The sequence below is a fragment of the Homo sapiens genome, chromosome 8 (genome assembly GCF_000001405.40).
Source record: "Homo sapiens chromosome 8, GRCh38.p14 Primary Assembly".
In the NCBI taxonomy this organism is placed as follows: domain Eukaryota; kingdom Metazoa; phylum Chordata; class Mammalia; order Primates; family Hominidae; genus Homo; species Homo sapiens.
In genome coordinates this window covers 21,748,343-21,770,884 of record NC_000008.11, presented here as the reverse complement: position 1 = coordinate 21,770,884, position 22,542 = coordinate 21,748,343, and the positions used below count along the sequence as shown (strand labels likewise).

The 22,542-nt window shown below is 50.5% G+C and overlaps 1 protein-coding gene across 7 annotated transcripts in view, besides 3 other annotated features; it reads left to right on the top strand.

Moving 5' to 3' along the window:
* Window positions 1-22,542, top strand: part of GFRA2 (GDNF family receptor alpha 2) — a 121,948-nt gene that overhangs the window by 41,461 nt on the left and 57,945 nt on the right. For all 7 annotated transcript variants that reach the window (XM_047421687.1, XM_006716327.4, XM_011544484.3 and 4 more), the window contains one exon: window positions 19,943-20,297. In XM_047421687.1, coding sequence (XP_047277643.1) covers window positions 19,943-20,297 — 355 coding nt within the window. The remainder of the gene's footprint in view (window positions 1-19,942; window positions 20,298-22,542) is intronic.
* Window positions 1,811-2,801: an enhancer, noted in NCBI's record as "H3K4me1 hESC enhancer chr8:21625596-21626586 (GRCh37/hg19 assembly coordinates)". NCBI's record gives its function as "activates a minimal SCP1, AML or CMV promoter by ChIP-STARR-seq in primed H9 embryonic stem cells {active_cell/tissue: H9 hESC(primed)}" and the evidence as "EXISTENCE:reporter gene assay evidence [ECO:0000049][PMID:30033119]".
* Window positions 18,487-18,656: an enhancer, noted in NCBI's record as "experimental_102790 CRE fragment used in MPRA reporter constructs". NCBI's record gives its function as "activates a minimal promoter by MPRAs in K562 erythroleukemia cells, with activity observed for both the introgressed and non-introgressed 8:21609826 variant alleles {active_cell/tissue: K562}" and the evidence as "EXISTENCE:reporter gene assay evidence [ECO:0000049][PMID:34662402]".
* Window positions 21,741-21,910: an enhancer, noted in NCBI's record as "experimental_102784 CRE fragment used in MPRA reporter constructs". NCBI's record gives its function as "activates a minimal promoter by MPRAs in K562 erythroleukemia cells, with activity observed for both the introgressed and non-introgressed 8:21606572 variant alleles {active_cell/tissue: K562}" and the evidence as "EXISTENCE:reporter gene assay evidence [ECO:0000049][PMID:34662402]".

Sequence of the window (22,542 nt, the reverse complement as noted above, 5' to 3'; positions counted from 1 at the left end):
GGAAGAGAGATTGCGGAGGGAAGGAGGACCTGGAAGGGTGGTGTGGAGCCAGCAGGGGTGTGGACTTGTGGGGCTAGAGAGAAGTGGGTGGACATCAAAGTGGTGATGAAGAGGACTGGGCGGGTTGGGCAGAGGCATCCTCACCGCCACTGGGCCCATGCCTAAAGGACAGGGAAAAGTGGTGGGCAGATGGCCTTGGCTGTCATCAGGCACTGTGTCTGCATCCTGGGTGAGGGGCAGGGGCTCTGGGGTCTGGCCATGCCGTGCAAGTGTGGCTAGAGGCTTGGGCATGGGGCATCCTTTCTGAAGCTGGAAGGGAACTTAGGGATCATGGAGGCCCACTCCTTCACCTGACAGAAGGGGAAACTGAGGCCCAGAGGGAAGGCACACATGTTGATGGGATTCCAATCCCTGTCCCACCTCTGAAGCGCTTCTCCTCTAAGCCCCAATCCTGTCCTCTCCCCCAGCCTGGAGCCAATGGCAACACCTACCTCTGAGGATTTTTGTTAAGACTAAATGAGATAGTGCAGGTGAGTGCTTGGCCTGAGCCTGGCATGCTGCACTAAGCCAGGTTAGCTTTTAAAACATTCGTATGGACTGATTTCTCCAAGGTTCGATGGCAGGTTGTGGCTGGGCCAGCCTAGAACCCGGCATTCTAGAAACTGTGTGTGCCTTTGCTGATTCGAGGCCACCTTTCACGCTGGGATAGTGCTTGGTGGTGACTGGAGTAGAGGTGATCAGGTGATTTCCAGAGAGCTGTGGGTCCCTGAAGCTCAGAGGGAGTCTTGGGTGGGGACGGCCATCATGTACTATGCTGTGACAGGGACAGATAGAGGCTGGTGAGCGGCCTGGCCTCAGTGGCCTTTGTGAACTGAAGGTAGAAGAGATGGCATTGTCTACCGTGGTTGGCCAGCATGCATCTGGGGTGGGCCATCTTGCTTGGTTGGAGCCTGGAGAGGGCCAATGATGTTCTCATTGGATGCTCCTGTGGTCCTTCTTGGAGGATGGGCTCAGGAGAGGAGGGAAATAGCACTCAAACGCTACCCCTTGCCAAGAAGCCTTGCATACGGCCTCTGAGAGGTAACCACCACCGGCCCCTGGTGCCACAGCACTTTGTCCTTTATCATGGTGCTCACTGCCACGTATTGAGGGCATGTGTGCGATTGTACGTGTTGGTCTCTGTGTCCTGTGTGGCCATCACCCTCTGCGTGTGTGTGTGACACTGTGCTTTGTATCTAATACATGGCCCCCGAGGATCCTGGCATCACGGCTGGAATGTGAACTTTGAGGCCGGCTAGTCCTCGTTTTGAATCCTGGCCTTACCCTACTGTGGGAGCTCAGGGTCACTAGACCCCCTGAACCTCATGTTTCTTATCTGTAAGGTGGAGCAGTCCAGCTGCCCTGCAAGCACTGGCATGCAGCGTGCCAGGGCACAGGAGCACCCTAGGTGCTGGTGAAGGGTATCACCGTTCGCTGACTGGAGGGAGCTGATGGCTTTGCAGGAGGTGCTAAGCAATTGTGAGGTGTCACATGTGTGTGACATCTTAGGAGTATCTGGGGCATTGAGAAGGGGTGGATCCTGGCCGTGGTGTGCAGGAATCGATCATGGAAGGGGCAGGGCAGGGGCGGGGCTGGGGCGGGGCTGGGGCCAGACTTCGGAGGAGCATGTTTTGTTCAGTAAATAATGAGTGCTCTGTGTGTTCCGGAGACGGTCAACCACTGCTGTAAGAGAATCAGACCTGTGTCCTCACTGTGTGGTGCAACAGGTAGATACTCATTTAGGCACTCCCTAAGTGGCTTGTTTTCAGTAGCAATGTAGACCAAGTGCTGCCCCAAGAGTTCAGGGGAGGCAGCAACCAGCAATGCCTGGGGAAATTGAGGAAGTCTTGGAAGAGGAGGAAGTGCGATGTGGGAATGATGTTCCTGGTGGCATCATGGCTGGGAGGCCTGGCTAAGCCTGGGGTGATGAAGGAACCTCAAGTCTTTTGAGCCTGGGGGCTCAGGGGACGGTGAACAGGGATCATTGTGGCAGACAGGACAGTGGCCTCTCTGGGGTGCTCCAGCCCAGGACTTCTCCATGACAGAGCTCAGGATGACTGCCTGATTAGGGGTCTCGGGTCCCTAGGGAGGAGCTGGTCTGTCCTTGGTGTGGGGAGAGACTTATCCCTGGGCTCAAAAGTCAGTTCCCAGGAAGACACCCCTGTGGCCTTGGTGGGGGCTGTGGGAGGATTGGGCCCGGCTTTGCTCGGCCGGTGTCTAGGGAAGCCCCTTGCCTTCCCTGGGTCGGCTCCCTCTGTGCACCCCAGGCCCGGAGGCAGGAGACCCAGCCTTTGTGCAGGCACCCCCTGCTCTCCTTGGGCTGCTGAGCAAAAGAATAGACGGTGAGGCTTTAATGTTTCAGCAGGTCGGGCTGGTGCCTCTCAGGGACCCCCTTCCGAGGCCGCCCTGTGATGAGGCGGGGGCACAGGGGGCTGAGGGCAGGGAAGAACTGGAAGAACAGCAGCAGCTCTCCCTGCCCCCTTCATGGTGGCTCGGGCGATAAACTGCTTATCCTCAGGTTGTCTCCCTGAGCCGAATGCAGAAGCATGTTATTTAAATTTCAAAATCACATTCTTCTTCTAACAGCTGTCAGAGACTCTGAGTGTCAACGAAAATTGGGCTTTAGCTGCAGCTCTGTCACCTCCGACACCTCCCCTTTCAGGGAGAATTCAGCTGATGGCCAAGGAGCAGGTGTGGGGTGCAAGAGAGTGGGGGCTATGGAGACGAGGAGAGGTGGACTGTCAGGAGGTGGAGAGAGGTGACCCAGTGACTCTCACGGCGCTTGGGGCCGCCAGGAGGAAGGCAGCTTCCCTCTCCGCAGGTGGCGGAGCTGGAGGGATCGACATTTTCCCTCTTCTGTTTTCATCTGCTCTCTCTCTCTCTCTCTGTCAACGCCAGTGACCTCAGGCTCTTGTCAGTCGGTAGAAGGATTTGCTGGCACTAAGGTGTGAGCAGGGTGTTGGTGACTTCATCTGTGGTTGCCTTTGTGTCCAAGGAAGAAATTGCTATGAAAAAGACGAGGAGGGAACAAAATTTAGTGCCCCCTCCCACAACCAAAGCCTCTTTCATGGTGGTATTTCAGGTGCTGTGGTTGAAGTGAGATTTTTTTGGATGAAGGTATTTTCTGGGTACCCTCCAAATAACATCTTCCAGGGAGCCACCTGCCTGCTTCTCCTTCCGTGTGTGAGGCAGGCTCTGCCAGTGGCTGGGGTGTGGGGCGGCTCTTGGCCGGACGCCCCTGCTCTGTGCTGCTCTTGAGATGGCGCTGGTGGGGCTCCGGGCTCCCTGAGCACGCCCTGGCTTCGCCATCAACTGCAATCACTCCGGCTCAGAAAACAGGTTGTGAGCACGTGCCCTGGGCATTCCCCTCCCACCCATGCCTGCACGCTCCTGTAACCCCCGTGCACGGTGAGGAACAGCGGGAGAGGGGTCATTGTGTGACGGGAACACGTGTGTGTGCCTGGTGTGTGGAGAGTGTAAGTACGCATGGCATATGCATGGTAGGATGTGTGTGTGTGAGAGAGGTGGGGTGTGTGTGTGGAGGCGGTAGATATGTATAGGCAGTGGTGTGTGTGTATGTGGTGGTGGTGTGTGTATGTGATGTGTGTGAGGTGGTGTGTGTGTGTGTTTGGGCATGGTGGATATGTGTAGGCGGTGATGTGTGGGTGTTTGTGGTGGTGTGTGTATATGTGATGCATGTGTGTGGTGGTGTGAGGTGGTGTGTGTGTATGTGATGTATGGTGGTGTGTGTGGGGTGTGTGTGAGATAGTGTATGGGGTGCCTGTGATGCGTGTGTGGTGGTTTTGTGCATGGCAGTGTGTGTAATATATGTGCTGGTGTATGTAGGTTGTGTGTGGTATGTAGTAAGTGTATGAGGTAATGTATGTGTGTCGGTGGTGGAGTGTGTGTAGGTGTTTGTGTGTGTAGGTATGTGTTAGCGTGTGTGTGGATGTGGGGTGATGTACGTGTGCGGGTGTGTGTGGGACAGGGTGTGCATAGGTGTGATGTGCATGAGGTGTGTGGAGCGTGTGGGTGGGCGGTTTGTGTGTGTGGGTCTTTGGCAGTGGCCTTCTGTCTGAAGGGACAGGACGGAAGGAGGGACAGGGAGGGAGGGGCCAGAGCGGCTCAGAACAGTCTCAGCTCCGACCATCAGGGGAATGACCCCCCAGGCCCCTGTTCATCCTCTTAGGGGAGCCATGGAAAGAGGGGCTCAAGGGGGAGGGGCATTAGAAAAAGGGAGGCCATCTTTGCCTGATCAGTAACAGGAATGTGTGGACTGCACTTGGTTCGTGTGTTTGGGGCGTCCTGCGACTGGAGGCTTCCGCGCTAACTCGGGGAGCTTAGGCTCAGAGGGAAGGTGTGTGAATTTATCCCCAGATAACTCACTGAGCACCCTCTGCGGGCCATGCCTTGTTCGAGGTGCTGAGGATACATCAGCGAACAACATGGGCGGGTGCTGCTCGTATGGAGTTTATGTTCTTCTATTAGCTGGAGACAGAGAAAAATAGAAAACAAGCCAACAAACAAATTAACAAGACATGTGAGATAGTGATGAATGCCAAGCTGAGAATTAAAATAGGATGATGGGACAGAGGTGACTGGGAACCACAAAATCTGACTCACAGGAAGGATCCAGCAGTGGGAAGATGAGGGAAATGGCAGATGGAACAGCTAGCGAAAGGCCTGGGTGGGGTCCTGCACGTGGAGGGTGGGACCCAGGGAAGCACATGTGGCTGGAACCTTTTATTTTAAGAGTGATGAGAAACCACTGGAGGCATTGAGGCGGTTGACTAGCACAGTATGATCTATGTGTTTGAAAAGATGACTCTTGCACTGTGGAGGATGGATCATGGGGCTGGGCACAGAGCAGAGTGGAGCCAGGGAGATCAGTTAGGAGGTTGCTGCAGACGGTCATAGGTGAGATGGAGAGGATGCATGGGCTGGGAATATATTTTGGAGGTGGGGTTGAAAGGAAGTGGGATGAATTTATGGACAACTCGATATTTTGTACTTGAACAACAGTGAAGCTGCTTGTGCCATTTACTAGGAAGGAGAAGATGAGAGGAGGAACAGATTGGGAAGTTCAGTGGGCAGAAATTAAGAGTTCTGTATTGGCCATTTTAGGGTGGAGTTGCCAATTAGATCTCCCCCCGGAAGTGCCAAGGACACAGTTAGATGTAGGCCTGGAATTCTGGGGAGAGGTCAGGGTTGATACATGGATTGAGAGTGATTAGCATATAGACAGTGTTTAAAGCCACGGAACCATGAGGTCATGGAGGGAGGGTATATAGTCAGGAGAGTGAGGCTGGGTCTCACCAAGTAGAGGAGGAAGAGCTAGCAAAGGCAGCTGAGACTAGGGCCAGAGAGGGAGAGAGAAATCAGTCAGCTGTGTCAGAAAAGCCAAGTCAAGTAGAAGTGTCAAGAAAGGGGAAGTGGGTCAGGTGTAGTGGCTCACACCTATAATCCCAGCACTTTGGAAGGCTGAGGCGGGTGGATCTCTTGAGTCCAGGAGTTCGAGACTAGCCTGAGCAACATAGCAAAACCCCACCTCTACAAAATACACAAAAACTGGCAGGCATGGTGGCACATGCGGGTGGTCCTGGCTACCCAGGAGGCTGAGGTGGGAGGATTGCTTGAGCCCGTGAGGTCAAGGTGGCAGTGAGCTGTGATCATGCCACTGCACTCCAGTGTGGGTGACAGAGTAAGACTATGTCTCAAAAAAAATAAATAAATAAAAAATAAAAAGAAAGAAAAAGAAAGAAAGAGGAAGTGGTTAGCCTGGTCAGATGCAGCCCAGAAGTCAAGCCAGTGAAGTTTAGAGAAGTGACTTTCTGATTCAGTGACATGGAGGTCACCCATGATCTTGCCAGAATATTCTTCTTGGAGGGTGAGGTTGGAATGTTGACGTGAGGAGGATGGAGGAGAAAATGTGAAGGGAGAAGGTAAAATCAGCAACCAGAAATCTACTCTTTCAAGCTTTGCTAGGAAGGGGAGTAGTGAAATAGGGGGCTGGGTAGTGGTCAAGGGAAGGCTTTGCTTTTGGTTTTGTTCTGTCTTGAGAAAGGCAATGATGGTGGCACATTTGTACCTGTTGGGAAAGGTCCCAAGAGAGGGTGGAATTGAAGGATGTAAGCAGGAAGGGGCGATTTCAGGAGTGATGTCTTCAATAAGTGAGGAGGGATGGGGTCCATGTGGCGTGCACCAGCACGCATGGCAGGGCAGCCTTTGGCGAGGCTGGAGCTGGGTCCTTCTAACAGAGAGAAGGCAGAGCTGGATGTCCAGGTGAGACAGACTGGTCACTGGTGGGTGACAAGGCGAGGGCATTTCTGTCCAAATCTATTTTCTTATCAAATAATGAGTTAAGGTGCTATGGTCTCAATATTTGGTCCTGCTGCCCAACAAATTTATAGGTTGAAATCCTAAGCCCCAAGGCAAGGGTTTTAGGAAGTGGGGCCTTTGGGAGGTGATTAGGACATGAGAGTGGAGCCCTTATGAATGGGATTAGTGTGCTTCTAAAGGAGACCCTGGAGAGCTCACTTGCCCCTTCTAACAAGTGAGGACACAGCCAGAAGATGGCTGTCTGTGAACAAGCAAGTGAGTCCTCACCAGACACCAAATCCACCAGCACCTCGATGTTGGACTTTGCAGCCTTGAGAACCATGAGAAATAAATTTCTGTGATTTATTTATACGCCACTCAGTCTGTGGTATTTGTTATAGCAGCCCGAACAGACCAAGACACAAGGTAATCAGCTTAAACAGGGGAAGGTGAGAAATGGCTGCTTTAAGCCATTTGGAGCTTGAGATTGGGACCTCAAAGTGAGACCAGTCAGCTGGTGTGTGTGTGTGTGTGTGTGTGTGTGTGTGTGTGTGTGTGTGTGTGTGTGTGTGTGTGTTACCTAGTGACCTTTGGCTGCTCAGGAGCCAGCATGGAGTGGGGGTGGCTGGGTTTCACTGGGTTTATTGGTTTGTGACTATGATGGAGGAAGAGAGGAGGAGAGGGGCTGAGGAGCTCAGGGGGTTTCATGCAGGCTGGGAAGTGTAGGCTGGGTAGGGAGGAATTGAGGACAGGGTAGGGGGACGGATGAGGGAGAGCAAGTGTTTGGGTCAGGGGGTCAGGGTCTGGGAGAGGTTGAGGGTTTGCTGGAGTGGGAATTCCAGAGAGGGAGCTGGAAGGTGAGGAGAGGGTGGCTTGAGGTTGGGATGTGATGTCAACCTTTCAGCAGGGATTTGGATGTTGATGAAGGTCAAGGTCAAGGATATGACTACGGCAGTGGGGAGCTAAGGGTAGGAGGAGATCACTGGAGGCAGATAGAGTGTTGTGCAGACAGACCGCCCCTGTTGAGTGGAAGCCTCTAGGAATGGTGCCCAGGAAGGGATGAACCGGAGATGGTGAGCCAGGTGTGAGGTCATTCCTGAGAGAGGGGAATGGCAGGGTTGGTGAGTGACAGCCTCCAGGGGAGTAGGGGCAGCTGATGACATGAACTTCCCAGGAGGACAGATGGGGCAGAAATGATGAGGAGAAAGGAGGCCCCCAGCCATCCATGAGCTGCCCAATAGCCACTTCTTTCAAAATTAGGATGCTAAATAACAAAGTCACTGATTTTACAAAATGCATTGATTTACCCAAACTAAGTCTTTGAATTATTTTTCATGGTTTTAGAAATTCACATTTAATGGTTTTCATGGCTTTTGAAGATTTTTGCAAATGGTCTTCATAGCTATATTTTAAGATATATTCAGTTTTTGGGAAGCTAAGGGTCATGAGTTGATGTGGACTTCTTATGGTGAGAAAAGTATATTTCATAATCAGTAAACAAAAGTTTAGCTTATGATGGGTGCTTCAAATCCTGTGTCCATTCTCTATACCATCAAATAAAAAATGCTGAGGAAAGATTTAGGTTAATCACATCAATATGAAATGCCTCAAATTTGGTTTTTAATGGTTACAAATACAAAATTAAACCCAACTCATCATTGTGGGAATTTTGTATGAGAATGGTAAAAACCCTAAATATTAAAAAACCCCCCAAATACCAAAACTATATTTAAAAGAAATAGGCCACTCAAAAGCGGTTGAAAAAATTCCTTTGAATGAGAAAGATAGAACTTAAATTTTTAATTGTCAGAACCACAAAATTAAGACTAACCTGAAATTTGAGGACTTGGAGAAAGAAATTTAAGTGTGGTTAAAATTTGACAAAATATAAAATGCAATTTGAAAGGTTCCAAATTGATTTTATTTCAAATTGATGTTCAGTGTATTTGCCATTCGTCAAATTGATTTTTGGCGGGTTAGCCTGCTTCCAAAAATGCAGCTTCACCTGGAGACTGCTGGGTGGTCCTGGTGTCATGGTAGGGCTGGGAATGAGGGGAAAGTTCAGAAAGAAAGTTGAGATTATAAAGAAGCTTGGACTAAGACTTCCAGGACTGATTTGAGGAGGGTAAGCACCCTGACCTACAGAGCAGTAGGGGACAAGGGTTCAGGTCCCATTGGATCCTTGGGCTTTGATTGACAACTGAGAGGACTGGGAGGCAAGGCTCTGCTATTGGTCTTGCCAGCTCCTGGGGACGGGGACACTGATGTATTGCTTCCAGCTAGATGGTATGGTGTTCCTGGCCCCCACTCCTGGTGGTGAGGGGGCCCAGAAGGGAGGAAGATGCCCCGAGATCTTGCTTGGGATGGAGCAGAGGAAGCCCTGAAGATCTTTTGCTTATGGAAGGGAAGACTGGGGACCATTTTATCTTTTGCCACATAGTGTGTAGAGGCCGGAGCACAAGGGACTGACTTCTTTTCCTAGCAGGGCAGTGTAATGTGAAGGTAGCCAGAGAGGTGAGATGGGAGGGAGGACCTTTCCAGCCAGGGGACACTTTTTTTAATTTTTTTAATTTTTTTAGACAGAGTCTCGCTCTGTCACACAGGCTGGAGTACAGTGGTGACAGCCCTCAGCTCACTGCAACTTCCACCTCCCTGGTTCAAGCAGTTCTCGTGCCTCAGCCTCCCGAGTAGCTGGGATTACAGGTGCGCACCATCACGCCCAGCTAATTTCCATATCTTTAGTAGAGATGGGGTTTCACCATGTTGGCCAGGCTGGTCTCGAACTCCTGGCCTCAAGCAATCCACCCACCTTGGCCTCCCAAAGTGCTGGGATTACAGGTGTGAGCAACCGCACCCAGCCAGGTGACACCTTTTTAAACAAGCATTTATTGCCTGTGTACTATGGATTGGAAACTGCAAGGGGTATTTTCATCCACATTGTCCCTTTTTCTCTTAGCATAGTCCTCTGTGTAAGGCAGGTAGATGTTCTATCCCAGTTTTGCAGGTGAGGAAAGTGAGGCTCAAAGAGGTTACATAACCTGTGCACACTTGCTCTGATAGTGGCCCAGCCAGGTCCTCCGTCTTCCCCACAAGCCACTGCTGGACCAGGGTCTCTGCTTTTTCTGGGACTCCACACCCAAAGGGGAAAGTTTCCATCTGTTTACTTGTGATCTCTCACCTGAGCTAGAATGTGAGCCCCAGGATGGCAGGTGACTTGGTGGTTTTATTCGTCAATCCAGCCTTACTTTACACACAGTGGGTTGTCAGTAAGTGTTTGTTGCAAAAAATAAATGGATCTTGAGGGCGGGCTGGGGTTGGATGCTCCATGAGGAGATCCAACGTGAAGTGTGGAGGTGATGCACATCCAGCATGAGGTGTGGAGATGACAGTCATCCAGCATGAGGTGTGGAGGTGATGGTTGTGGTGGCTTTAACCCTGCAGGGAGGGCTGGGATTAGGGGCAACTCCCTGGAGTCTCTGCTCCTGGACCCTCCCTTTCTCTACCCGCCCTTGCTGTCTTCCTTCCAGCCCTGCTGAGAGTTTATTTATTCTACATCTCATTGTGAGTTGCCCCTCCACTCACCCTTATGCCCCTAAGTATTTGGGGGGGTGTCAGTTGACCATCCTCCTTTTCGAAACTCTTGCCTTCCGTGAAATCAGCATCTCTTGATTTTTCCACCAGCTAAAGGTCCTCTCCTTTCTGGCCTCCATTGAACATAAGGCGACCCAGAGTTCTGTCCTGACTTGTTTCCTCTTCTTTGTTCTCATCCCCAACCTGTGGCGCCTCACTGAGTTATGTGGCTTTCCACAACCTCCTCCAGTATCAACCATGCCAAGTTTTGTGTCTTTAGCCCAGACCTCTTTCTTGAACTCCAGGCTTGTGGACCCTTCTGCCTATTCAACATCCCTGCTTCGACATCTAATAGACATCTCAAACTTAAGTCAAAAACAGAATAGTCCATTTCATTCTGCCTCTCTTCTTTCCTTCCAAGTCTTTCCTTTTTCGTGAAATGATATCTCCATCTACTTGGTGCTCAGGCCAAAAATCCAAGAGGTTTTCTTGATTTCTCTCTCTCCTCCCACTCAAAATGCAAGCAATCCTTGGCTTTATCTCTAAATTATATGCAGAATGGGTTCACATTTTGCCCTCTCTGCAGTCACCACCCCACCCCAGCCTCCACTAGCTTTCTGCTGCTTCAGCAGCCTGTGACTGGTCTCCTTTTCTGCTTCAAACCCTCAGATATACCCTCAGTTCCATGTGTCAGTGAATGAGGTCATGTGCCTTCCTCCTTAATGCTCTCCAGCGCTTTGCATTTTAGAATAAAATCTGAAGTTCTTACCTGCCCCGCAAGGTCTCCCCTGACTGTCCCTCTGACTTCTACTTCCTCTAACTTCTGCCTCCTCCAGGAAGCTCTGGCAACCTTACCCTTCCTTTTGATTAGGAACGTGCCAAGCTCATAGCTGTCTCAGGACCTTTGTGCTTGCTCCTCCTTTGCTTGGAATTCTCTTACCTTGTTTTTGTTTTTGTGTGTGTGGTCCATTCCTGCCCGCCATTTTAGTCATTCTACCTCAACTTGATGTCACCTCCTCGGAAAGGCCCCTCTCTTATTTGCTGGTCATTCTTTTTTTTTTTTTTTTTTGAGACGCAATCTTGCTCTGTTGCCCAGGATGGAGTGCAGTGGTGCGATCCTGACTCACAGCAACCTCTGCCTCCCGGCTTCAAGCGATTCTCCTGCTTCAGCCTCCTGAGTAGCTGGGATTACAGGCACATGCCACCACACTCGGCTCATTTTTGTATTTTTAGTAGAGATGGGGTTTCACTCTGTTGGCCAGGCTGGTCTTGAACTCCTGGCCTTCACTGATCCACCTACCTCAGCCTCCCAAAATGCTGGGGTTACAGGTGTGAAGCACTGCACCCAGCTGGTCATTCTTTTTTAAATTCCCTTATTTTCCTTTCTTTAAATTTCTTTCCTTCCTTCCTTCCCTCCTTCCTTCCTTCCTTCCTTCCTTCCTTCCTTCCTTCCTTCCTTCCTTCCTTCCTTCTTTCCTTCTTTCCCTCCCTCCCTCCCTCCCTCTCTCCCTCTCTCCCTCCCTCTTTCCCTCTTTCCCTCTTTCCCTCTCTCTCTTCCTTTCTTTCTTTTTTGAGCCAGAGCCTCACTCTGTCGCCCAGGTTGGAGTGCAATGGTGCGTTCTTGCCTCTCTGCAACCTCTGCCTCCTGGGTTCAAGCCATTCTCCTGCCTCAGCCTCCCTAGTAGCTGGGATTACAGGTGCACGCCACCACTCCCAACTCATTTTTGTGTTTTTAGTAGAGACGGGGTTTTGCCATGTTGGCCAGGCTGTAACTCCTGGCCTCCAGTGATCTGCCCGCCTCAGCCTCTCAAAGCGCTGGGGCTACAGGTGTGAGCCACTGCGGCCGACCTTTTTTATGTATTTTTGTGTTTACTCTCAGTCTTTCCCTTACTAGAGTGAAAGCTGTAGGAGAGGGAAGATTCTTTCTTTCCTGCACACAGCTGGATTTTAGGGCCTGGCATGTAGTTGGTGTATGAAAATATTTGTTGACTGGCTACTAATGCAGGGACTCCGGTTCTGCTCCTGGAGAGGTGGGTATGGTTGGGTGTCTTCGTGTGTGTGTGTGTGTGCACCTCGGTGTGCACACATGCTGTTGAGTTTGCACAGTACCAGAGTGGGCTCCTTTTAGCCTGCCACGGTGGACCTGTGGCTCCGGCTCAAAGGAATGAGGTGAGACAGCAGGGCTTTCCCTGGCCCTCCATCCCTGAGAGTCTTGCACTGGTGTGTTGGGTGGGTAAGTGAGAGAGGCACAAAATATAAGGGATTAGGCAGTTCAAAACCCGTCATCATTCAGGTAAAGAAATGAGACCGAGAAAGGCACAGAGATTTACCTGGGGTCTTCTTCAGCTTGGAGAAGCAGAGACAGAATTAGGACCCACGTTCTTTAACCCCTGTTTAAGTAGTAGAACTCCACATCTTGGTTCAGGGACCCAGGGTGGGCTCAGGGACGGACACTGCAGCTGCAAATGGGATGAGGGGCAGTTTCCTGGGAGGCAGGAAGGGTGGTTAAAACACCTGGGTCCCCATTGGCTGGGAAGCTTTACAGGATGGGGAACCTCTCCTTTCTGCCCACAGGCACATTTGCGATTGGAAAGTCTACCTTGAAGATCCTCTCTGTTGGGAGGTGGCAGAGGGGGATGAAACAGTTGAAGGGCGTGCCTAGGTGACAGTAGCTGGCCACAGACCACCGTCTGTGAAGGGCAGGCTTGCTAAATTGTGTGCTGGGTGAGGTGTGTGTGTGTGTGTGTGTGTGGGGAGTGGGCCAAGGGCAGCCCTGCTCCTCCCCTAAGCTTTGGGTCTCAGTTTTTGGAAGGTGGCCTCAGAATCACAGGGAGCTTGTGAAATCCAGATGCCCAGGTGCCAGCCGCAGAGCTCCTGACTCGGTGGGGCCTGTGAGTCACAAATGCACCAGAGGTCAAGTGCCTTTTCTCTAAACCGGTGACTTCCCCCTCCGAGTGCATTGCACACCACTGCTAGAATGGGAGATGGGGCCGACGAATATGTATTTTTATCTTTATTGCATTCTAATGGGTTAGAAAAATTCAGAACCAACATAGGTGTTATCATTTAGGATAAATCTAGATAGGTATTGAAAAACGTAAAAGGTGAGTCAATAAGGAGTTAAACAGATTCATTATTTAAGAATTAAGGGATTTAGGTCCAGTGTGGTGGCTCATGCCTGTAATCCCAGCACTTTGGGAGGCCAAAGCGGGCGGATCACCAGAGGCCAGGAGTTCGAGACCATCTGGCCAACATGGCAAAACCCCGTCTCTACTAAAAAAAATACAAAAAATAATTAGCTGAGTGTGGTGGCAGGCGCCTGTAATCCCAGCTACTCTGAGGAGGCTGAGGCAGGAGAATCGCCTGAACCTGGGAGGCAGTGGCTGCAGTGAGCCGAGATCATGCCACTGCACTACAACGTGCGACAGAGTGAAACTCCATTCAAAAAAAAGGATTAAGGAATTTAAAGAAAAAATCAATTAAACATTAGTAGAGGTGGTACTGTTAATATGACCAAAACGAGATAGGGAATTGAAATTTGGTAAACCCAGCTCAATATAAAAGCCAAATAAATATTTAAAGAATATGAGTTTAAAGAGCACTCATATGCCTGCCTGCTGGGGGTGGGGGCTTCCAGTGTCTGGAATCACAGCCTAGTGGTGCAGATGGGCTCTTGGCTCAGGGCAGCACTCCAGGAATTAACAGGAGAGGCTGGGCTGGGTGTGGCTGCGGCAGGGCAGTTGGGGAGGCTGAGCTGCAGCCTCTGGTTGTGCATTCCTCAGCTGTCCTGCCCCTCTGCTGCTGGCTGTGCTCCCCAGCTGGCTGCGCTCCCCGGGTCTGGCCCTCACCCAGGGAGTAGGAGGGGAGGAGATGAAGAAGCCAGAGTGTCCCCTAGGGCCAGGAGCTGGAGGTTGGGAGGATGACTTAACTGCGGTTTTGGAGAAGGCCAAGTGTTAAATCCCGCCTCCCTCTCCCTTGGGCAGCTGTTTACCATTTACTCCTTGGCCATCAAGGCTGCTCTCAGCCAGCCTGGGAGACCCACCAGGGCTGGCGCTGGAGCACGTGTTGAGTTCAGGCTCTCCAGGGCCAGCCCAGGACTGGGATCAATTTCTAGCTCCGGAATATCTCTCAGGTCTTGTGTGGTCTCAGCTCTCAGTGCAGGGGATCGGGGCAGGGAGACGGAGGGGGCTGGGTTTCCTGAATCCCCATTTCCTGCCCTTTGTACATTTTAGCTCAGGGGCTGTAGCCCCAGTGCCAGGCAAGGACTGTGAGGGGTCTTGGTAGGTGAGGTTTGTATTTAGAATCCCCCACCTTCTTCTTCCCAGTGGGAACTCACCTTCCTGACAGGAGGGACAGGAGCCTTAGGGTAGGTGGCAGGGCAGTGGCTGTCTCAGAAGGAATGTGTGTCCAGTTTTTCTGCTGCAGATGGCAGTGGCTGGCCATGTGCCCAGCCCTGACCCCACCATCTCCCTCATAATGAAAACGCAGCGCAGGCTGCCTCCTTGGTGAGGTGCTTGGCAGAGCCTCAGAGCCCAGGCCCGCTCCTGGGGTCTTTTCTCCCGTCATCCGGCCCACTCAAACCCGGTTCCTGCTGGGAGGATCACGGGGTATCTTCCTGGTAACCAGGTAGGAGCTGCATTTCTTGATTTTTTTTGTTTCCTAGGAAATTTACCAAGTTTTGGCCCAGGAGTTTACACGTTCTGCCCCCTAGCAAAAGCTTTCACTATTCAAGCTCCAAATGGAAGCCACGGAGGCTATAATTACACCAGCACTAGCTCAGGAACCTGCTGAGAGGAGTGGGAACGGAGCACCTGGGGAACCTGGGGGCAGCCGCAGCCCTAAATTAGCTGCTGTTCCGCTTGCAGTTGCTAACCTCCTCTCTGGGGTCCCTCCTGTTGTCTCTCCTCACCTTGGCCCCCGGCCGCTCCACTCCTCCAGCCAGCAGCCAGCCAGCCTCTGACAGGTGCGTCCTACGGCTGGCCTGGGAGAGAACCTGTCCCTTAGAGGCAGTGTCCCCACAATAGCCCTTGTGTTGACAGGCATCCTGGGATCCTTCTGTCCTGGGCAGAATGGTTTGGTAGCAGCTCAAGGAATTGCCTGAGAGGCCACATGCCCCAACATGGCTGAAGGCCCTTGTCTTGGCATTCCTTGCCTTGGTTTCCATGTTCAGTCGTATTGAATTGCTTGCAGTTCCTCCCAGCGATTGCACCTGCTCCCCTCTGTGCCTGGGATCCTTTTTCTGCTGTCTTTACTTCCTCTGAGTCCTCCTGTAGGTTTCAGCAGTGATGTCACTGCTTCCAGGACCCCTCCCCCGGCCCCCACCAAGGTCTGGACAGGATGCTTTTCTCTCCACACCTGACTTCCCTGACACAGAACTCACATTGGCATGGGCTGCTCCTCCGTCCCTAGCTGTGTCTCTGGCAGGGTTGCAGCCTCAGTGTCTGGGGAAGTGCCTGGCACATAGTAGGTCCTCATTAAAGATATATTAATGGATTGATTGGGAAAACAAACCTTGATTCTCTTTCTGCCTTAATTTCCCCCAGCCTCCATTTTTGTAGTAAAAGGCTTATTTTTTTAAGAGTGGTTTTAGGTTCATAGCAAAATTGAGAGGAAGGTACAGAGAGTTCCCATCTACCCGCTACTCCTCCCCAGGCACAGCCTCTTCAACTATCAGCATCCCTCTATAGAGGGATGCATTTGTTAAAATTCTTGAACCTACATTGACACATCATTATGAGGCAAAGCCTAGAGTTTACATTAGAGTTCACTCTTGGTGTTGTACGTTCTGTGGGTTTGGACAAACGTCTAATGGCATGCATCCTCCATTACAGTATCATACAGAGTGATTTCATTGCCCTAAAAATGCTCCATGCTCTGCGTCTTCCTCCCCCACTCCCCACTGACTCCTGGCAGCCACTGATCTCACTGTCTCTGTTTTCCCTTTTTCAGAGTGTCATACCTTTACAATCATAGGGTGTGATACATGTCTCCTTTCATGTAGGTTTTCTCCGTGTCCTTTCATGATTTGATAGCTCATTTCCTTTTATCACAGAATAAGATTCTTTTGTCTGGATGTACCCTCCCCTCTTTTATTTTTATAACAAGAAGAGAGGGCACTTTTCTCTTTCTGCCTTTAAAGGGCTATTGTTGGCCAGGCACAGTGACTCATGCCTGTAATCCCAGCACTTTTGGAGGCCGAGGCGGGCGGATCACCTGAGGTCATGAGTTTGAGACCAGCCTGGCTAACATGGTGAAACCCTGTCTCTTCTAAAAATACAAAAATTAGCCGGGTATAGTGGCAGGTCCGTGTAATCCAAGCTACTCAGGAGGCTGAAGCAGGAGAATCTCTTGAACCCAGGAGGCAGAGGTTGCAGTGAGCCGCGATCACACCATTGCACTCCCGCCTGGGCGACAAGAGCAAAACTCTGACTCAAAAAAAAAAAAAAAAAAAAGAAAAAAAAAGACCATTGTTGGTCAGACAAAGTGTTGGGTGAATGGCTTAGTCTTCGTTGATCATCCCCCAAGTTTCAGGTCTGGGCTAGGCCCCACATGGTCCTGTGTTGATCACTGTTGCCTACTCTGTACCATTTTGCTTGCTTAATAATATTAGTCAACATTTTTTGAGCACTTACTGTAAAATAGACACTGGCCTAAATACATTTATTCCATCACCCCTTAAATACCTATTGCATAGCACCTGCCTGTCAAACACAGGGTACTAGGGACACAGCACTGAGCACAGCCCTGTCTTCCTGGAGCTTGTATTTGATGCAAACAAACAAATGAGGAAGTAAGTACATACCATGGCAGATAGTGATGAGTGCTGTGGGAAAAATAGGTCGGAGTAGGGGTACATGGAATGTGCATGGGGTGTTGTTACTATGTGTGGGGTGGTCAGGAAGGACTCACACATTAGGTAACATTTGAACAGAGTCTTGAAGTAGATGAGGAGAGTGGTTGTATGGCTGTGGTGGGGAGGGAGAGACTTCCAGGCCAAGGGGACAGTAAGTGCAAAGGCCCTGTGGCCACGCCGTGATGGGCGTGTTCCAGGAAGATCCAGGAGGCTGGGGTGGCTGGAATGGAGGGAAATGAGCCTGGAGAAAGGAATAGGAGGTGAGGCCATATACAGCCTTGCTGGCTGATGGAAATATAATATGCATCACATATATAATTCTACATTTGCTTGTAATCACAAAAAAGAAACAGGTGAAGTTATTTTTATTACTACATTTGTTTAACATCATAGATCAAAAATACCCCTTCGATGTGTAATCAAAGTAAAAATTTATGAGATACTTTACATTATTTTTTTCTTTTCTTTCTTTTTTTCTTTTTTTTTGAGACAGAGTCTCCCTTTGTTGCCCACTCTGGTGTGCAATGGTGTGATCTTGGCTTACTGCAACCTCTGCCTCCCGGGTTCAAGTGATTCAAGTGATTCTACTGCCTCAGTCTCCCGTGTAGCTGGGTGTAGTCCACCACATGTCACCACGCCCAGCTAATTTTTATATTTTTAGTAGAGACGGGGTTTTGCCATGTTGGCCAGTCTGGCCTCGAACTCCTGACCTCAGATGATCTGCCTGCCTCGGCCTCCCAAAGTGCTGGGATTACAGGCGTGAACCACCGTGTCCAGCCTACATAATTTTTTTCTTATTACATTTTCAAAATCTGGTGTGTGTTTCAAGGCCTTGTGTGAACATGTGAAATGACCCAGCCACATTTCAGGTTCAGCAGCCGTGTGTGGTGAGCGGACAGCATTTCAGAAAGCACAAATTGTTCTGTCACAGCAAATCAGACAGCACACATATAGAGGTGTGTAGGTCATGCTGAAGCCCCCGAATGAGCTGGGGAATCCAAGGGGGGCTTTGGAGCCTAGGAGCAATGGCTGTCTGCTGTAGGTTCTAGAAGGTTCTCTCCAGCTGCTGTGATGAGAGAAGATTGTCATGGGGTGGGGTATGGGGGCACAGGGCAAAGCAGGAGGCTGGGAGAAGGAGGCTCTTAACAGGCACAGTGTCGGTGGCTCAGATCCAGGTGGCAGCAGTGGCGGTGGTGAGAAGTGTCTGGATTCTGGCTGTATTTTGAAGGTGGAGCTGCCAGGGTTTGGCAGTGTATGAATAAGAGTCAAAGAAGCGCCGAGAGTTTTGGCATGGGCTACTGGAAGGATGCAGTTGTTTCCAGCAGGGTGAGGAAGACTGTCATAAGTGGAGGGAAGCCCCAGGTTTTGGGGGGAAATACGGGGTTGGGTTTGGATGTGTCAAGTGTGAGATTTGGGTATTAGGCTTGCAGCTAGAGGTGTTGAGTTGGCAGGTAGACAGATAAGTCTGGGGCTCAGGGCAGAGGTCTCGTCCGGGGGTATAAATCTGGGGGTTGGAAGCACAGTGATGGTGTTTCAGGCCATGAGATGAGTCCCAGGGAGCAGGTGCATGTAGAGAAAAGGAGACTGAGCCCTGGGTATGGAAGACGGGACCAGCAAAGCAGGCTGAGGAGGAGACTGTGGGGAGGTGGCAGGGAGCCCAGCAGAGAGTGGAAGGAGGCAGGAGGGAGGAATTGGCTGTGTCCAGTGCTGCTGATGGGCTGAGGGAGATGAGGCCTGTGGATTCCTGAGCATCCATCAGACAGGTGGGGCCAAACACCAGGCTGAAGCAGGTCTAAGAGAGAATGGGAGGAGAGCAAGGGACAGGTGGTGTAGACAACTCGATTGAGGGGTTTTGCTTTCAAGGGGAGCAGAAAAATGGAGTGGTAGCTTAAGAGGGGTGTGTGGTCACGAGGAGGTCTTTTTTTAATTGAAGATGGGTGATGTAATAGCTGATGGGAATGGTCTAGAAGACAGCAAAATCATGATGTAGGGGAGAGAGAAAAAAATGAGCTGTCTCATTCATGCTTACAAAGGCCCTATGTGGTAGATACCAGTTTGCAGACAAGGAAACTGAGGCAGAGGTTCAGCCATTTGTCCCAGGTCACAGAGCCAGTAAGTATCAGGGCCAGGAGTTGAACGCCGATGGCTGAGCTCTAGAATGCCCAGTCTTGGCTATTGTGCTGTTCTCCTCTTGGTTTTCTGGCTGGAGTTGTGAGCTCTTCCAGAGTGGGCCCTCCTCTTGCGCTTTTATATCTAACACGGCACCCTGCAGAGGGCTGTGCAGAGGTAGGACCTGATCAATCTTTAATGGGCAAGTGATTAGAACACCAGGAACTGTGTGCTGTAAGTGGTCAGTCAGTCACCTGGCCCACGTGAGAGGGACGTGTGACCTCAGCCTACCTCCTCACCCCAAGTCCTTCCCACCACCTTGCGGGACCTTGTGTGGAGAGAGTGGTGCTCAGGAAATACTGGAAAGCATTTGTAGGGTGGGTGAAGAATGGATGAGGAGCTTAGACCAACGGTTCTCGCTGGCATAACTGCACTACTGGGTGTGACTCGGGTTCCTGTGCTGGGCAACCTTGGGCAGGCCCCTTGCCCACACAGTGCTTCAGTTTCCTTATCTGTAAAATAACAAGGTTGGGTGAGGTGATCTCCCATCTGGCTCTCACCAGAATTCCTCAGGAGGGCATGTGTGTGCTGTCTGCACCCAGGCTGCTGACAATCCCATCATGAGCATTGTCTGACCCCAAATGCCAGTGTCCTGCTGGTGGGTGCACGGGGGCCCCCTCGTTGTATGACGCTGAGCCAGTCACTTTATTTCCCATATTTGTAAACAGGGCCATACACACCTGGTTGCTTGCCTTTTAGGCTTGTGATGAATTTTAAGTCCACTATTGTCCTAGATTGCCATGGTACAGCTCACCCTGCACCAGCTGCTTCCTAAGCGCTCCCTCAACCTGTATATTAACTCCTTTACTCCTCACCACAGCTTTAGGAGGTAGGTCCTGTGAAGTGATCCCCATTTCGCAAAGGGGGAAACTGAGGCACAGAGCAGGCACATGGAAGCATATCGAGTACTGGGAGACATCTTCCAGTGAGGGGGCAGCTGTGTCCTCCTCATGCTTGTGTGGCCTCTGACCTGCTCTCTTGTTCCTCCTCCAGGGACAGGGGCAGACCCGGTGGTCAGCGCCAAGAGCAACCATTGCCTGGATGCTGCCAAGGCCTGCAACCTGAATGACAACTGCAAGAAGCTGCGCTCCTCCTACATCTCCATCTGCAACCGCGAGATCTCGCCCACCGAGCGCTGCAACCGCCGCAAGTGCCACAAGGCCCTGCGCCAGTTCTTCGACCGGGTGCCCAGCGAGTACACCTACCGCATGCTCTTCTGCTCCTGCCAAGACCAGGCGTGCGCTGAGCGCCGCCGGCAAACCATCCTGCCCAGCTGCTCCTATGAGGACAAGGAGAAGCCCAACTGCCTGGACCTGCGTGGCGTGTGCCGGACTGACCACCTGTGTCGGTGAGTGCCGCGGCAGCCCCGGTGGTGCTGGCAGGAGGGCGCTTGCATTGCCAGGCTGTGTTTTCCTTTCTCTGCATTCCTTGGGTGCATCGAATTATGACCCTGAGTCCAGCAGAAAGGGTGTCAAAAAGGGTAAAACTGACTTGGACATGTGCAAAATGAATTTTCCATTTCATTCATCCATTCATCCATCCATCTACTTCTTTATTCATTCATTTGTTCATTCATTCACTCAGAACAGGTTTATCATTTGCTTACTTTGTGCTCAGCTGGGGAAACCAAAATGAACAACCCAAGGAGCTTATAATTTAAAACCACAGACTCCTTGAGTCTTGGAATGAGAGACCTTTGGGTGCAGTGGCTCATGCCTGTAATCCCAGCGACTCAGGAGGCTGAGGCAGGAGGATCACTTGAGGCCAGGAGTTTGAGACCATCCTGGGCAACATAGCAAAACTCAGTCTCTACCTATATATGTGCGTGTGTGTGTGTGTGTGTGTGTATACACACACACACACATATATACACATATATATACTTACATATATTATATAGAGCTAAATTTCAGCTCAGTATAACCATGCATACCCCCCAAAACTACCTTCCTAATAATGAGGCTACTATGTTGGTAAGCACTTACTATGTTCTAGGCTCTGCGCTAAGCTTTGGACCTACGTTATGTCATCTAACGTTCACAATAACCCTGTGACGTGGGTATTTTTACTCCTATTTTATAGGTGAAGGGATGGAAGGTCAGGAAAATTTTGTAAACTTGCTCAAGGTTACATAGCTAATGAGTGGTAAAGACAGGATTCAAAGCTAGGACCGTCCGACTCCAGGACCCATTCCTCACCCTGAAACTAGACTGGATCAGACCTGAATACAGAGTGAGCTGGCTTTATATATATATAAAAGGGACTTTAGACAATTTAGTCCCACTTCTGAAGAAAGTTTCTGCCTAATATCCCAACGTAGGTCACGTGGCTATCAGGAAAGGTGCTCTCATAAAACGAAGAGCCAGCTCACTCTGTATTGAGATATGATCCAGTCTCAATGATCATATGAGTGAGGAATGGGTCAGGGTGAGGAATGGGTCCTGGAGTCGGACGGTCCTAGCTTTGAATCCTGTCTTTACCACTCATTAGCTGTGTAACCTGGAGCAAGTTTACAAAATTTTCCTGACCTTCCGTCCCTTCACCTATAAAATAGGAGTAAAAATACCCACGTCACAGGGTTATTGTGAACGTTAGATGACATAACGTAGGTCCAAAGCTTAGCGCAGAGCCTGGAATATAGTAAGTGCTTACCAAGTGTAGCCTCATTATTAGGAAGGTAGTTTTTTTTTTTTTTTGCAGGGGGAGGGGCGGGTGGTGGTGCATGGTTATACTAAGTTGAAGTTTGGCTCTATATAATTCTCACATTTGTCCTTTTTGTTTGCTAAGTATTTATTGAGACTCTGTTGTGTGCAGTTCTTGGTCCTAAGCCCTGAGAATACAGGGGAAACAGACAAAGGGAGTGGTAATCCCAATTCAGTGGGATGAGGCTGTGGGCTCCCAGAGGAGAGAGCACAGGAGAGGGGCATCTGCCATATCCTGGGTGTCCAGGGGAGGAGGGGGCCTTGACCTGAGCCTTGGGAAACAAGGAGGAGAAAGCCAGGGAAGAAGCCTGTTGGAAAAGCATGGCACAGGGTGGAAGTGGGAGAGGGCCTGGGCTCTGGGGAGCTGCAGGTGTTGGGCACATGTAGAGTGGGCCGTGATGGGAGGCAAGTCGGGGGAGGCTGTTGGAGAAATGGGGATTGTAGTGGGTGCAGGTGTTTATAGATAGCCTGTTGTGTTGTGGACACTGTTCTAGAGGCTTTCTGTCTCATTTAATCCTTGCGACAAAACTGAGGTAGGTGATATTATCTTTATCTGTCAATGAGGAAACATCTGGCAAGTTACAGAGAAAGTAACTTGCTGAAGGTCACACAACCATACATTTCAGAGTCGGATTCCAGCTAAACTGCTTCTTTCCAGTATTATTGAGTGCTCCAGACTAAGATAGTGAGTGTGGGTGTGGAGAAAACTGGATTATTTCAGAGGAGATTGGGAAGTGGCCTTGATGGGGCTAGGTGACTGGCTGAAAGTCACCTGGAGATAGAACCCTGGTGGCGAGAACTATTTCTGTTTTGTTTACTCCACACCCTGTCCTGCATGTAGAGCCTGGCACTTGGTGAGCATTCCATAAGGTTAGTTGAATGGATAAATGA